The sequence below is a fragment of the Homo sapiens genome, chromosome 4 (genome assembly GCF_000001405.40).
Source record: "Homo sapiens chromosome 4, GRCh38.p14 Primary Assembly".
NCBI lineage: Eukaryota > Metazoa > Chordata > Mammalia > Primates > Hominidae > Homo > Homo sapiens.
Genome location: NC_000004.12, coordinates 61143268 through 61161114, shown reverse-complemented (window position 1 = coordinate 61161114; position 17847 = coordinate 61143268). Strand labels below are relative to the sequence as shown.

Sequence of the window (17847 nt, the reverse complement as noted above, 5' to 3'; positions counted from 1 at the left end):
TAAATATTTTTAAATGACTATTTCTAATTCTAAATACATTTCTATAAAATGATGTTGAGATTTTGAGACTCTGGGATTTCAAAAAATATTCTTCAATAAATTAAAATTGAAGCTTCTATCAATATTAGAAATATTTCTGATTATATTTTAAGATCACACAGCTATTTTTTTTTTTAAACATGAGTATACACTGTGCTATGGTTTGGATGTTTTCACTCCAAACCTCATGTTGAAATTTTATTCTCAGTGTTGGAGCTGGGACCTAATGGGAGGTGTTTGGGTCAGGGAGCAGATCCTTCATAAATATATTAATGCCCTCTCTCAGTGGTGAATGAGTTCTCACTCTATTAGTTTCCATGAGAGCTGGTTGTTCAAAACAGCCTGGAATCTACCCTCTCTCTCTCTCCCTTGCTTCCTTTCTCACTATGTGATCTCCACACACATCAGCTCCCCTCCGCCCTCCTCCATCAATGGAAATAGCCTGAGTCCCTTACCAGATGAAGACGCTTAATCTTGAACATTCCAGCAACCAGAATCATGAGCCAAATAAATATTTTTATTTATAAATTACCCAGCTTCAGGTATCCCTTTATAGCAATTCAAAATACACTAAGACACATGGGAAAAATAAATTTACTGAACAAACTCAGTCAATAAGGTAATTAACTTACTTTTAGGAAACATGCAAAATTCTGCTATTATAGTACACTAAGGAAACAGTAATTCTTTCTTTCATTCGTCTAGATTGTGAGAAGAAGTTTTAGAACTTCTACTACAGCCTGTAACATACACTGACTACAAATTTAGAATTTTGGAGGCTTATTTTTAAGTTTGAAAGTAGTTAGTCCTGGTCGGGCACCATGGCTCAGGCCTGTAATCCTAGCACTTTGGGAGGCTGAGGTGGGGTCAGGAGACTGAGACCAGCCTGGTCAACATGGTGAAACCCTGTCTCTACTAAAAATACAAAAAGTAGCTGGGCATGGTGGCGGGCACCTGAGGCAGGGGAATCACTTGAACCCGGGAAGCGGAGGTTGCAGTGAGCCGAGATCGCACCATTGCACTCCAGCCTGGGTGACAAGAGCAAAACTCCATCTCAAAATAAATAAATAAATAAAAGTAGTTAGTTCTAACTAAGATGACAGTATTTCACCCAAACATATACATAAGAGGAAATTTTTTAAAAGAATAATTGAAAAATTAAACCTCATTATCAGATCAATTGAAGTAGATGTATTGTATATTAGAATCCAATGTTTGTATTGCATTTAAGTATTCATAGAAATATATGCCAAATGCCTACATGCAGCTAGGCAAAATTTAAAAATCAATAAGTTAATGATTCAATTCTTTTATCACTTAAACACACTATAGAAACAACACTGACACTGCAAGAAATTTTTTTTTAATGTCTTTGTAAATCTTAAGGTATTTAAGCGCGAGTGCCATGAGCAGGTATATGTTAGAAATTTCCCATATGCTGTGGTGCTGTGGTTTGGATGTCCCCTCTGAAACTCATGTTGAAATCTAATTGGCATCATGAGAGTATTAAGAGGTGAGACTGTTAAGAGATGGCCAGGCTACAAAGTTTCTGCCCTCATGAATGAATTAATGGCATTATTGTGGGAAGGGGTTAGTTACTGCAGGAGTGCATTTCTGATAAAATAGATGACTTCATCACCCATCCTCTCTGATTCTCTCCTGCTCTTTTGCCCTTCCACCGTCTGCCATGGGATGACACAGCATGAGGGCCACCACCAAATGCCAGCACCATGCTCCTGGACTTTCTATCCTTTAGAACAATGAGCCAAATAGACTTCTATTGTTTATAAATTACTCAGTCTCAGGTATTCTGTTATAGTAATACAAAGTGGACAAAGGCATGCAGCAATTCTCATTTAAATTTATTATAAATTGTGATATTAAAACATTATTAAATACCACCTGTGGATACTGCTTTCTTAAATATTTTAGACAAGTGATATTTTCTTAGCTTTGGATCTCAAGAAAGATTTTATTTTTGATTTTATTTTACTGAAGTTCTTATCTTTGCTCTGTGGATGACTTTTGTAACATAAAAATCTTCAAATTATATCATCTGTCTTCACCTATCCACTCCCTCGAAAAAAATCTCTGCAGTATCAATGAGAGGCCATCTTTACTTTTAGTACGATAGAATTTGATGAGAAAAATGTTCATGAGTACAGATTTTGTTTTAAATTTATTCAAGAAACAAGTATAGATACTGTGTTTAATAAATGTAAAAACACACATATTTGTAAATATGTCTTGAAAGAATTGGCCCAGCATTGTGGCTCATACCTGTAATCCCAGCACTTTGGGAGGCTGAGGTGGGCGGATCACCTGGGGTCAGGAGTTTGAGACCACCTGGCCAACATGGCGGAAACCCATCTCTACTAAAACTACAAAACTTAGCCGGGCATGGTGGCAGGCTCCTGTAATCTCAGCTCCTTGGGATGCTGAGGCAGGAGAAACGATTGAACTTGGGAAGTGGAGGTTAAAGTGAGTCGAGATCACACCAAGGCACTTCAGCCTGGGCAACAGAGTGAGACTCTGTTTCAAAAAAAAAAAAAGAAAGAAAGGAAGGAAGAAAGAAAGAAAGAATAGGCAAGAGATCATTCAGAAGACAAACTGTGATTAGAAAAAAGTTTTATTATTCACTTGCCTACCAAATATATATAAGCACAATGTCAAAGATAAGGGAAAATTTGAAGAATAATAAAAAAAAACTCATAGCCACAATTAATATGTGTTTGCACTGCAGTAATAATATTTAGGCTATGCTTTGTGTTATTCTTAACTTCTAGGGATTCTTCACCATTGAAAGGACCAAGGAAGTAAACTGTCTAGTATATTCACTCTCTTTGGAGCAGTGTAGTATTGCGGACTAAAAGTGTGACCTGTAGAGGTCATTAATCTGTTTTCTTACCTATGGTCACCTGTGAAACAAAGAAAATAACATATACCTTAAAGTGCTGTGAAGATTCAATTACATATAAAAGCAGCTAGCTGAAGGAATGTGCATGTATTCTTAAGACAAAAACCAAAGCAATTAGTATTTAACTGAAGATTTCAGCAAACGGATATTTTAGGAAAACTGCATTTCATCTCAAATTTAAATTTTTTTGTCATTCACACATTGGACAGGTAGATTTATATGCTCAGAAAAGTTTGTTTCAACTTTTTAAACAAAAATTTCAAAAAAGTTTTCAAAGATTGTTTTAGATATCTCACTGCAATTATTCCATGAACCAGAATGAATTTCTGAATGTCTGAGGACATTTATAAATGGTCCCATTTTCCTTGATACCAAGTTGTAGAGTCCCCAGTGCTGACTACTACTTTATACACCATGATTTTAATTTCTATGTTGGCATTAATTCATTTAATACATTGTTTTGAGACTGAACACTGACATTTCTGAACTCTTATTAGCTCTAGGAACAGAAGCTATACATTTTTGGTAGCTGGAGACTGTCTCTTGATAAATATAGGCAGTTCAGTCTCTTTCACCAATACTTCTGATGTTTACTTCTCTTCAACTCTGATCATTGCACATTAATTACTCCAACAAGTGTGGATATCCTTGAGTCACTTCTATTACCATATACACACACCAAGCTCTCTCTGTTCCTTAAATTACCACTCATCTGGAATGTTTAAATTAAACATTCCAAATGCTTAAAATAAGATTAAAAAGTGATAAAAATAATGATTAGAAAGAAAAATTGATCTTCAAGACTAAGAGCCTCCCCATTATTCCATGTTCTTAGTAGTTGTTATTCCCCTTTGGCCAAACTTATCACTATGATCCTAGGGATCACTTCTTACTTAAACTATAGTCTCTTTTTTATATTTTCTCTTTACTAAGTCCCTTTACCTAATATCTGGTCTCTGAATTCTCAGATAACATAATAATTATCTGTAGAGCGATATCCCTACCTAAAAAATTTACATTATGAAACAGTTTAGCATCTGAGCCTGAAACATCTGCTTTTGAATTATTCACTATTTGAATGTGTCTATAGAAAGATGGAGTTGGCTGGGTGCGGCAGCTCATGCCCGTAATCCCAGCACTTTGGGAGGCCAAGGTGGCTGGATCATTTGAGGTCAGGGGTTCAAGACCAGCCTGGCCAACATGGTGAAACCTCTCTACTAAAAATACAAAATCAGCTGGGCGTGGTGGTGCACGCCTGTTATCCCAGCTACTCGAAGGCTGAGGCAGGAGAATCACTTGAACCCAGGAGGCAGAGGTTGCAGTGAGCTGAGATCGTGCCATTGCACTCCATCCTGGGCAAAAACAGTGAAAGTTCATCTCAGAAAAAAAAAAAAAAAAGAAAAAAAAGAAAAAAGAAAGATGGAGTCTTTTTTTTTTTTTTTTTTTTTGGTATTTACCTTACATCTACATGACTATAAAGGCTTTTCAAAATGTTAGCTTCTAGAAACAAGGATGACTCACTCAGGTACCAAAAATGTATAGCTTCTTTTCCTAGAGCTAATAAGAGTTCAGAAATATCAGTGTTCAGTCTCAAAACAATGTATTAAATGAATTAATGCCAACATAAGAATTAAAATTAGGAATTAAAATTAAAGTAGTAGTCAGCATTGGGGACTCTACAACTTAGTATCAAGGAAAATGGGACTGTTTATAAATGTCCTCAGACATTCAGAAATTTATTCTGGTTCATGGAATAATTCCAGTGAGATACCTAAAACAATCTTTGAATAATTTTTTGAAATTTTTGTGTAAAAAGTTTAAACAAACTGTCTATAGAATTTTGCTGCACCCTGAAGATTTTTGGTTAAACTGCTTTTGGCATGCCATGTCAAGCATCCTTTTGCTTTCTTATTGGTGTTAACAAATTAAATTATTTTTCTATAATATTTCCCTCTAATTTGTAAACATGTAGTCATAACTTTTTCTCATTTTTAAGATATCACAATGGACATTTACTTTTCTAGAAGGAAATAAACTCGATTTTCTCTATTCTAGAGAACATCTTGACAAGTTATCTGCTTCTTATGCTCTAAAAGGATGGTAAAAATAATCAATGCACAGCGAAGTGTTTATGTGCATAATTTCATTTCTAATACATTATTAAAATATCTGTTATCTATACTTTTTTTTGAGACAGGGTCTCACTCTGTAACCCAGGCAGTTACCAAGGTTCTGAATCTGATTCACTCCTGTGAATAATGTACTATTTTATAAATAAAGGATCTAACATAGCAGTCATCTATTGAATATGTCCTGTCTATGATAAACATATATTATAAAGTTTGTGAATCCTAGAACTTCTGATTCCATCTTATTTTTAGTCAAATTCAAATAGGCATGCAAATAGATAAATGTAATAATATTTCTGATGTTTAAATCCTGGAACTTTTCTCATTATCTCTTTTGCCTTGTCGCCAATTCTGTACTACCTTACACTGCTTTGGAGGCTGCCTTTCTCTAAAACAAATGCACAAAAATATATCTGGGTAGATAACAAGTAAATAATAATAAATCCCCTTTCAATGCTATCCAATCAATGCAGATTTTTTCCTTTCCCTATTTTCCAATCTCTAATTATGTTTATTATGTAGGTAATATTAGTGCCTTATAAAAGGTCTCTCCCTATTCCACTTCTTCGTTCCTTTCTCTACCTATTCTATGATTCTGCCTCATGAAATTCTGAAAAATAATTTTTTAAAATGATGGGTAGTGGAAAGGAGCTCAATAAGGAAAAAAGACATTCTTTTTCTCTTTATTTAACGAGGTAAAATGGCTGGGAAAATTTATAAGTTAAAAATTTCACCCTTTTAACACATTTACCCTGGTCAATATTCATAGATGCCTTCAAAGGCAAATCCAATATTTAAACGGGACTTGCAGATGGTCCTTTTATTGACAATTTATTACACATTGACCCCCTTTCTTTTTGTTCTTTTACTGGGGGCAGGAGAGGAGGAGGGCTTGGCAAGTGCTGCATAATTGATCTTGAAAAATTCCAGAAAGGCTGCCAAGCAAAGGCTTATTAGATTCATCACAGTTCCACCTCTCAAACTGTAGGCTGGGGAGGGGGACTTACTATTTATTTCCTTTACTTTCCACATGTCTGTAAATAGTAGCTTCATAGGGGAATTTAAACCGTTTACTTTATAACAATATTAGTAGCTGTTTACCACAAGAAGATGTTCTTTGCCCAAACCGAAGCAAATATGTAACCAATTTTAAGTCCCCTGTTAGCTCCCCTTTCCCTTGTGAGGATTTGATTTTGACCACTGAGATATGGGAAGAAGCCCTCACTTATTCATGATAGGTGAACTTGGAACTCTTCTTACTTCTCACAGTGACTTTGATTTCTTAAGAAATCAAGTGTGGGGATGTGAGAATGTGTGTGTCAATGGGCAGGTAAAGACTTTTCTATTTCAACACTTAATAAAGGGATATTTTAGCTTCTTTAATGTCATAGACTGTGTAGGTCTGTGTTTGTTTAGTTCTATGGCTGGTATGTCCACTTTATAAATAGGTATCTTCTTCAACTTTGTCCTTCTGAATTCATTTCATTGTCATCTTCTTAATGGTTCTTTGACTTTCTAATTCAGAGAACCCTGATTGACCTTTGCTCTTTTGTATCATCATTCTAAATCCTTACCAGTTCTGTTTTTTTGTTTTTATGCCAGGATTATTTCAAAATTTTATCACTCTATCACCCAGGCTGGAGTGCAGTGGCGCAATCTCGACTCACGGTAATCTCTGCTTCCCAGGCTCAAGCGATTCTCCCACTTCAGCTTCTGAGTAGCTGGGACTACAGGCACATGCTACCATGCTCAGCTAATTTTTTAATCTTTTGTAAAGACAGGATGTCCTCATATTGCCCAGGCTGGTCTTGAACTCCTGTACACAAGCAATCCAACCGCCTTGGTCCCCAAAGTGCTAGGATTTGATTTCTGGACCCACGTGTCCAGGGAATTCTGGTGTTTGAATGATAAAGCTCCATCTAATAAAAAACTCCATCCATCTATATTGCAGTTATCTTCACTACCCAAATATCTCTCTTCATACTACTCTAGCCCATATGGCTTCTATTTTCTTTCTTCTTTTTCTCTCAGGTTCATTATATGTTTCTACTTGGCTTTTTTTTTTTTTTTTTTGAGACGGAGTTTCACTCTTGTTACCCAGGCTGGAGTGCAATGGCGCAATCTCGGCTCACTGCAGTCTCTGCCTCCTGGGTTCAAGTGATTCTCCTGCCTCAACCTCCTGAGTAGCTGGGATTACAGGCATGCACCACCACGCCTGGCTAATTTTGTATTTTTGGTAGAGATGGGGTTTCCCCATGTTGGTCAGGCTGGTCTCAAACTCCCAACCTCAGGTGATCTGCCCGCCTTGGCCTCCCAAAGTGTTTGGATTACAGGTGTGAGCCACTGCGCCCGGCCCTTGGCCTCTTATATGTTGCTACCTGGCCAGTTCTTCTCTTCTTCACTATTCTCCCATCATTTCTTTTCTTGTGTAGTATCAATTTCTGCAGCACAGAAGAGCTACATTACAGAGGGCAGGTAGTTTAATGAGGAGAATCTGAGGAAACAAAGATAACATTATTTGTGGTGGATGAGATTTTGATATGTGTAAGGTGTTAGTATTTGTATATTATTAATCTTAGGCTTCATAACAATATCAATAATTAGAGGAAGAGAAATCTACAGTTGCTCTCAATACTAATATTATTAATAATAATGTTTATAATAATAAAAATGTCTGTTCTTCAGTTATATTTTCTTCCAAACATCTCTCTGATCTTAGTGAACATTTTGAGAAGCTAACTCTTATTTCTCATTTCAGAACTATATACTGTTGTTTAGGTAAATAACTTGATTAATTGCTATCAAAGTATAAATGGTAGAATGATGGCGATACTTACCATATTAAGTTTTTCCTAGTTAGTTCAAGAATAGTTAAATAAATTCTTAGAAACTTTGAATAAACTCTAAATGGAAGAATTTTTTATTCATGAGCCTTAAAAATTAATCTAAAGTTAATGTTCATTGAATTTTAAATGAAAGAAAGTTGTATAACAACACTTACAGGTATCTAAGTACTCTGACAAATTCTCTAAATTGCTAGCCCAGACCTAAAAACATTTAGCTTACCCTCAGTTTCCAGTTTCTCCATGTACCTGATATAAACATCTGCAGCAGCTTTTCTGTTACAAACCTTAAAAGTCTGTGAATATTAAGCAACTTGTATATGAAAAATAAAAATACACCAATATTAATAGCATTTTATTCCTTAAAATGAGTACCTCACCCAGAGTTTTAGTCCAGAAAACTAGCATTTCGACATAGAAAACGTTATGAAACTGCAAGCATTTTCTTGTGTTGGCCAGTTTAGGTCCTAGCTAGTTTGCAATCATCTCCCACTGCAAATGTCTCATGGGGAAATGGCATTTGGTATTCATACATTCCTTCCTCTCCATCCTACCCTGAGGCTACTTCACCATCTTTAGCCACAGGCTCTTTCCCCCATGACAGTTGATCTACTCTCAACCAGTAACACTTCTTGTTGGTCTGCACAATGAATTGCCAAAGTTTTTTCTTGGGCCTCTCTTCTTACGTATCAGCAAGCTAGAATATATGATTATTTTCCACTTTTGCTCTGCCTTTTCTACGCAAACATTTTCTTAAACAAGGCAAGTTGGCCTGGTAAAGTCAGAGAGTGCTGCTGAAGTGGCTGCAAAATAAACAATTCCTGTTGAGCACGGATTTCCATGCATTTTTTTTTCTTTACTTTTCACTATGAGTTTATTTAGTGGGTACTATTTTACCCTTATTTCAAAATGAAGAAAATTAATACTTAAAGGATGATATTTCTGATCAAATGTAATTCATCAATAAGTAAAGAGACTGGGAAACTTCAGTGTAATTATAATCCTGCCCCATATTACAGGATTAACTCATGTATTAATATGATTCATGAACTTGGCCTAACCACTTAACTTTTTAATTTTCCAGTTACTGATTTTTTAAAGTAAAGATAACACTATCTTTTTTTCTCACTTCACACAGGATCAAACTGACTCCAAAATATAATATGTAAACATCTACCAAATGTAAAATATTTGCACATGGGGTCATTTAAACATTTGTGTCTCTTCGCTACCATCCCACTGTTGCATTTTATCCACAGAATTTACTATTTCTCTTTCTGTCTTAAAGAGAGAGAAAAATAGTTCTCACACATATGAAAGCAAGAAAAGTCTTGCATTTTGAATTTGAAGTCATCATAGCAAATAATCTCCAGAACCTTTAAAAGCATCAAGAAATCTCTTTCAGCTTCCTTATGATGCCTTCCCATTCTCTTTAAAGTACAAATGATTTCATACCACAAATCAGACACAGGTACTTTCATTTGAAACAAACTGAATTATTTTACTGAATAATTGCTAGTCTTCCATTGGACTTAGGACTAGAGATATAATTATCAGTGAATCATATTTACCATCTAATTTTTAAAGCACATACACATATACACACATAATTAGAAATTAATAAAATACATCCTAAAATTGAGTGCTGTGTTAATGAAGCTGGCATTCATTCAGTCTGGAGTGGGTAGTATAAAATTTGGAGAGAAAGGAGAGAGGAAAGCGAAGGTAAAGGGATCAGTATTGAGAGGAACAATGCAGAATATTTAATAAAAGAAATGTCTTGTAACTTAAAGCAACATTGCAAAAAATTGGATGAATGAACTAGTGAATGAAAGATCTATGCATTAAATTAAATAATTAGAAATTTTACTGTGCACTAATAGAGAATAGAGGGATTTTAGGCAGTTGAAAAGTGAGACACTTTACAAAATTCAGGGATTCAAAAGTCTCAAGCCATGAGATGATGACTTCCTTATTTTTAGAGGGCTCTTTGAAGAAAGACTTTAAAGTACGCATTCTTCAGAACGTTGCTGTTGAGTAAAAACCTGGCCATTTCCCCAGACCTAAGCTGTCTCTTTTGGTTTTTCTGGCTCTGGGCCTACTCCAGGGGTGTGGATATATACTGGCCAGATGGCTACATCAACCCCTGGTTGATTATGCCTGTTTTAAGGATTGACAAATGGTCAGTTTGACCTTGAAGTTTTGAATGCAGGCATTGCCCTGGACGTAGAAGACAAGTCTATGCTTAAACATTTACCCATGCATTCATTCACTTATTCATTATTCTTTCACCTGAAATGGAGCAAGCCCTTCTAGTGAAGAGGGACAGTGCTAAATTTTTAGTTATATTTCATTTTAGCACACACTTTCCTTAGAGTGGAAATTTTCACATTAGCAATAAGCAGCTTTTTATAGTCCATATAGAAGACACGGGTAGATACAATGGCTCTTTTTTCCCTTCTCTTGCGTTTATGTATTTATTGACAGAATCCATTATTAATTGAGACTTTTATGTGGCCTTTCCCCAAATACTGCAGATGAGAGCATGTAATCCAGCCTCGGTCAATCAGACTGTATCATTTTCCTTGGCCTCATTGATTGATTTAGGAAAAGACAATGTCCCATTTTTGCTGGGACAATCCAAATCCCCCTAAGGCACATTCTCTTGACCTATTATTGGTAAAGAGGTTATTTTACATTTTAGGTCTCAAAAGCTAATATGAAACTTAAAGTTGTTGTAGTTGCCATTTTTGCTACATGTAGAGAATCTGCCTGAGAAGAAAGCCAACATACGTGAAAGCAGAGACAAGAGACAGAGATATGAATAGGGATAGAGTTGTACATATGTATATACATACAACACACACACACACACACACACAGACATATATATATGTTGAGAGAGAGAGAGAGAGAAAGTCCTGCTTTAGTCGTGTACTCTATGTCGAGATTTCATCTTTGTATCTATTTCCATTTTGCTTAATTTAGTTTAAGCTGAATTTCATTCATTGCAAGATTCTTGAAAGATACAACACCTAATATCTACTTTGATAATAGAAACAAAACTAACCCACCTTTTATCTTTACCTGATAATTATAAGGTGGTAGCATTGTTCTGATATTTAGCATCTTAGGAAAGGAAAATTTAAAATGGTATATTTTTAGTTTTGGTCTCTATGGCTATATTTTGGATCAACATAATTTCAAAATAAATTTGGAAAAATATAATAGATTTTAACTAGAGTTTGTATTATATTTGGCATATAATTCTTAAATGGTTTTCCCATGATTGTGAATTTTATGAAATTCTCATCAGTCATTATAATTAGTATTGGGATTAGCAGTTAATAACTGAAACAGTCTAATGTGGAAAAGAACAGCTGTGCTTTAGAAATAAAGATAGTTATGCAAATATTGATTGAAATAACATTAAAAAAATTTAAATAATAATGAAAAATAGGAAAAGCCGGATAATCAAGGAAAGCTATATACATTGCTTTAGATCTGTATAAGCTATGCTTATTTTATTTTAGTGGTGGAATTATGACAAAAGAAGAAATAGAAGAAGAAAAACAGAATCCAATAAAGACCTAGAAAATAAGAAGCAGAGGTTTAAGATCACTCTTAGGAATCTCAAAGTTGCAATATAGCTCTTTGGAAAAAACATTGACTCATCACTGACTTACTGAAGTCTATGGCTGGAGTCAAGAGGACCTTGGGTATTGCAAAACTGAAGGCCAAGATGGAGACATAGATTAAGTCAGCAGCCACACAAAGGAGAAACTGATATATGGTGCTGGAGAGATTCAGAGTTTAAACAAGAGATAAAGTCTACCTCTAATGGTAGGATTTTGTTAAACTTTTCTAAAGTATATTTATACCAGGGTCTGGGACCTTAAAATCTGCTTCTATTTAAAATCTCAATAAAACTAACATAAATTTAGGGAGCCAAGATATGTACTCCTATATGAGAAACCAAACACAAAGATTAGGAAAGAAATGTGTAAACCTTTTCAGGGAAGATGAGGCTAGCCTCTCCTATAATAGTGAAAAACAAAGGCAAAGATATAAATGGAATAATCTTGCTATAGGGTTCTGTGTTACCAAGGTTGGAAATTCACCCAGCATAGTTCAAAACAGGAATGGGCAAATATTTTTGCAAACAGCCATTTAATAAATATTTTAGGGTTTGCAGGCCAGATAATCTATGCCTAAACTACTCAAGTCTGAGTTGTCGTGAGAAGGCATATGTAGTACATAAATAAATAGGTGTGGTTGTGTTCTTTATTTTAAAAATGTTGCTTTAGTCTGTAGACCCTTAGTAGAGCAAATGAAAATACTCATAAGTGATGTCTCACAGGTGAAAATGGGTGGTGTTTGCTCATTTCCGTGGTATGAATACTAGCACTGTGGCTAATTTTAAACAATCAGTGGCTGAAAAATTGATTTGAAAAAATTCCTGAAAAATTAACAATCAGCACTTTGAGCTCATTTTGAACAGTTGTAGGACACTGCAGAATATGATCCACTTACAAAGGAGTAAAGGAGCTCATGTCCTGAAACTTAGTTTTTCAGGTTCTGCGATCTTACATTATCTTCCCTCCTTCCGAGTTTCCCTGTCCCTGTCCCTCATATCTGCTTACAGAGTCACAGTCTTAAAAACAATCTGCCTGCAAGCATTTGGCTTAGGCATAGCTCAACCTCAAGAGTTATAAGACATTTATACTTCATATTCTTTTTAATTGAATGGCTTATTTATGCATATTTCCCTAATATGAGTAATGCGATTTTGAGCAAGCATCTATATTATAAATTATTAATTCAAGAAAGGTAGACACCTAGATATCAGTTGATGTATTTATATGGTAGACTTATAATAAAAATTACCACATATAAGCAGGTATTCACAGTCAAAGGAAACAGTACAAAAGAGAATATGTTCAGGAGGAGACCACAGAATGGGCTGAAAGGGAACATAATTATAAAAGAAATGCCGAGAAACAAGCTTGGGCTCATTTGGGGATGGATAAACCTCTAGGTCCAACTACTCGTTATTAGACCATTTTCATAATGAACCTGTTTCAAAAAAAAGTCAAAGTGGATATGCACTTGGTGCTAAATGAGTTTAGAAATAAAACAAAGCCGCGAAAGCCTTCTTTTATCCTCTGTCAAATTAGAAAAACCAAGTACGTCTTTGTACTTTTAATAGTCTATTTGCTTAAATACATAGACAAGTGGCAGGGGAATCATTTAAATGTTTGCAGGCAGTCAATCGCATTAAAGAATCACAAGAAAACAGGCTGAACTCTGTAGTCAAACTGCTAACTTTATTCTAATTAATAACCCTAAATTGTGGAGCTGTTCATGGATTGCTTACTTTTGGGATATATGAATGTTGAAGTTAGAGGCTGAAATTCGAGGTAAAATAAAATAAAACCATCATCGTATGTGAAATTTTTGGTAATCCTTGTACCAGGAAAAGGAGATTGTACATCTTTTGAGATTTAAAAGATTTTGTCATAGGAATAGTGTGTACCAACCAAAATGCTCTTATTTCATAGTTATTTCACGGTCTTATATTCACATTCATTTAACCCTCACTAATCTGCCAGCTGGATGTTGTGCATCCAGCATGAAAATTCTCCTTAAAGGTTGTTTATAGATGTGAGATATGAGAATGTGGAATATAGTCCACAAAACATCACTACATAGTTTTCTAAAAATGTGTTAAATCCTTCATATTTAGATAACAAGATTCAGCTCCTGTCCTCCAGAAACTTACAGTTTCTACCTCCATTTTCTCCGCTTCACTTTCCTGGGAGGATCTTGCTGCAAACTTTAATGAGATAAGTATGGGTTATTATAAAGCAGATTGGAATTTTAAATTACAAATAGTAATAACCCTTAAGTGCAGCTAAGATAAAACCCTTCCCCATCCCACGTTTAGAGGTTCTGCCTTATCAGAGTCCCTGACCCACAGTGAGAAATTAATACACATATTTTTGAATAAATTTTGAATAAGTAACTGGGGATTTAAGTAAACAAGAAATTACCCTATAGTGAGAGAAGAGTTTTAACATGTGGTGAGTGGTACAAAGTAGCACACCCAAGGTCGTGGGTTAATGACTTCCTTCCTTGTGCTCTTTCTCTTTTTCCACATCAGGGATGAGCTGATTAGAGTAACTTTATATAGAGTTGGTAAATTTTAATGAAGGAAGAGTGACAGTAGATAAAGAAAAAGGGTTGAAACAATGAAGTTTTATAAAAAGCAATATTCAGTATCTGAAGAGGAAAACATTACTGTATTTTTTTTTTTTTTTAACTGAGATGGAGTCTTGCTCTGTTGCCCAGGCTGGAGTGTAGTGGTAAGATCTCGGCTCACTGCAACCTCTGCCTCCAGAGTTCAAGCAATTCTCCTGCCTCAGCCTCCTTAGCAGCTGGAATTTACAGGTGTTGTGCCACCATGCCTGGCTAATTTTTTGTATTTTTATTAGACATGGGGTTTCACTATGTTGGTCAGGCTAGTCTTGAACTCCTGACCTCATGATCCACCCGCTTCAGCCTCCAAAAGTGCTGGGATTACAGGCGTGAGCCACCTCGCCCAGCCCTAACTGTCTTTTATAGACTATGTTGGAAGCATTTGCTTAGTCCACAAGTCATATCCTTAGCATTCTTCCATGGAGAAGGCTTGTGGGCAGCTAACTTTGTTCTGCATGATCCTAGGTCTTTGTCCATTAGTTAACTGGGCCAATCAGACTTTTTTCTCCTTGGAATTTGGAATTAGCATTGAAAAATGGTTAATAAGTCTCTACAACCTGCTGAAAATGGAATATGTATAGACTGCAGACCATGGAGAGCCATCATCAACCATGTAGACTGTCTAGTGGAGAGAGTGGGTCTGCTCGAAGAGAACAAAGCAGATATGAAGAGAGAAGCAGAGAAAATCAGCAGGGAGACAGCACTGCCAAGTTTCTTCAGGCTTTCTGGGTGGTGATCTTGGGGCTTTCCTCAGGTCTTTTCATGAGTTCTCTGAGGTAATACTTCCTTCTTATGTTAGTTAGCTTTACTTGGTTTTTATTAATTGCAAATTTGGTTTTTATTGCAAACTTTTATTATAAACAAAATTGCAATTTAAATTGTTTTGTTTTGTAAATTATCTATTTTGTGCCTTTGCCCAAACGTTACCATTTCAATAAAATCTAACTTGATCATTCCACTGAAAATTTTAATTTTACTCCCCCTGCTGTTATGAGCTGAATTGTGTCCTGTATCCCCCCAAGTTTTTATGTTGATGTCATAAACCCCAGTAATCCAGAATGTTCCATGCTTGGAGATTAGATCTTTAATGAAGTAATTAAGTTAAAATATAGTCATTGGATTTTGAGGCTATTTGTGAAAGGGAATGACTATTATAGAAAATCCAGTTTTATAAAATTATGTGATTATTATGATGTATAAAATTACTTCCTCATTGGAGTTCCTTTCTTCCTTTTATTCTGTAAATTTACTAGTTATCAGGCATTCCTTTTAACTTAACCCAAGCTCTATTTAGGAAGAAGTTACAACTTGTGTTGCAAGGTTAGTTCAAATTTTATTATTCATTTTATCCTTGACCTCAGTGGTTAAAACTATTAAGTAAAGTAATGTTAATTGTGGTGGTGTTTTTTGATTTAGACACTTGTCCACTAGGAATTGGACTGAGACCAATTCATTTCATTCCAGCCACTGAACAGACATCAAGCTGTAATGATTGTTGGTCACTGTTCAAGAGTTTACATTAATATAAAGGGCACACAGGGTAAAACTCAATCATAAATACCACCCTATACATTTAGGTGGACGTTTATGTACTAAACTGTGTGATGTAATGGGGAAAATTATGAATACATATATTTTAATATTTTGCAACTGAGTATGAAGCATCACTATGAATTTTGTTCTGATTTTTTCTCATTGTATAAAAAAAGGGCATTTAAAATCTTTAAAAAGAACTAAAAGAAATTACTTGTCTCAATCCACTAATTATTTGATTACCTAATATTCCTCAAGTACTACAGAGGAAATACATAACATCTGAAATTGAGTAAGGTATGATCTTGGCCCTGAGGAGGGTTATGGTTTAGTATAAGAAATGAGATAAGTAAATGGGTAATAAATGGCAGATTTAAAATGATGGATAACACTTATTGAGTACTCACCTGTTCCAGGCAGTCTTCTAAGAGCTTTATATATATTATGCCAATTGAAACTTTTAACCAGACGTTGAGGTACGTATTGTTTTATAGATAAGCAGACAAAGTTACAGAAAGTTGAAGCAAGTTTGTGAGGTCATGAAGTTAGTAAGTAAACATGTTGGCATTTGAACTCACAATTTTGGCCCCTGCATCACATGCTTAACCTCTGTAGTTTGCCTTTAGGGTAAATTCCTTAAGAACAATGTAAAAACAAAACAAAATTAAAACCCTGCAATCTGGTGTAATACATCACATAAGGCAGAAATCACATCTGTGTTGGGGGATCCTAGAATACTTCTTGGGAAGGATGCATTTGGAAGGGTCCTTAAATTATTTGAATATGTGGAAATCTAGAATGAGACATCATCTTCAGTAGAGAGACTATCTCTTAGACTGCCTAGTTTATCACCAAATCTTCCTGTACACAGAGGCAGACTACCTTGCTCATCCTCCATTGTAAAAGGGTACAATCATGTGACTGAGTTCTCTATCCACAAGAATGTAATTGTATATACATTGTAATGTATATAACATACACTATATCTACAGTAGAAATGCTATAAGATCTGCAGACTTCTAGGCCGGGCCTACAAAATTTCTTATGTAGGATTTTTTCCTGCTTTTCTTCCTTATTGCAGAAGATTCATAGATCTTAGATGAAGATGGTAGACCACATTCACAATATAAAGAGGCGCAGATCCCTGAGTCACAACTTGAACAAGAGTCAACCACCTACTAGGCAAACCCATTTTAGGCATTTTTGAATGAGAATAATTGCTTACTGTGGTAAGCTACTGATATTTTCACATTCATGGACTGTAACAGCCTACCTTCACTTATATAGGAAATATAAGAAGCAGTGTCCTATAAGGAGAATAAATTAAATTTGCCTGTCATCAGTGGTTGAGAAGTGTAATTTGAGGTCATAAGAAGCCAATATAAAAGGTTAAAATTGCATATGGCAAAACTACCCTTAAAATTCCCTATACAGTTCAGTATATACAACATAGCACAATACAAAATAAAATTTACATAGCTGAGTATTTCGAGACCTATAGATGATTGTATCAGTCCTTCTCAGTCTTGCATTGTTAATGTTTTTCTAGTGTCAATTAATTATTCAACTTCTTCCTTTAGGATATTGATGAAACCATTAACCACTTATTTGTCTGCCCACCTGAACCATATGTTCCACTTCTGTAATGGAGAAGAAACATAATCTTTCTAAAGTGTTTGGCAAGTAGTGCTGGTTATTTCAGCCTAGGTTTCTGCCACTGCCTGAGGCATATTACATAATGTGATTTCATGGAATTGAGAGGCAGTTAATATTCTTAGAAAGAACACGGGCTTTATCAGCAGAGAACTTGGGCTTGAATTCCAGCTTTTACATTGTTCTAGTTATGTTGTGGACCTTGGGCAATTTACTTTTTTGAACTTCTATTTTCCAATTAGTAAACTGCAGATAAAAATATAGATATTAAAATTTTGTTCCAAAGATATGTTTATTTATAATAACTAATTTTTACTGAGCATTTATCATGTTGCATTTTCTAAATCCATTGGTCTTTATATTTTCTATAATTTTCAGGTTTCTGTGCTTTATAAACATTGTTGATTTTGGTCTGTGCATGTAATACATTCTGTTAAGTATGTATAGAATTCCTAACTCAGGAATAGACAGCATT

General features: G+C 35.1%; 1 long non-coding RNA gene across 1 annotated transcript; it reads right to left on the bottom strand.

The window, feature by feature from the left end:
• Nucleotides 1-7463: 7463 nt before the first annotated feature.
• LINC02271 (long intergenic non-protein coding RNA 2271) lies at nucleotides 7464-17459 on the bottom strand. The gene is made up of 4 exons (NR_147148.1): nucleotides 17340-17459; nucleotides 16127-16354; nucleotides 13711-13764; nucleotides 7464-7579 (listed from the first exon to the last, which is right to left on the bottom strand). It is a non-coding gene; the product is annotated as a long intergenic non-protein coding RNA 2271 (long non-coding RNA).
• Nucleotides 17460-17847: the final 388 nt, after the last annotated feature.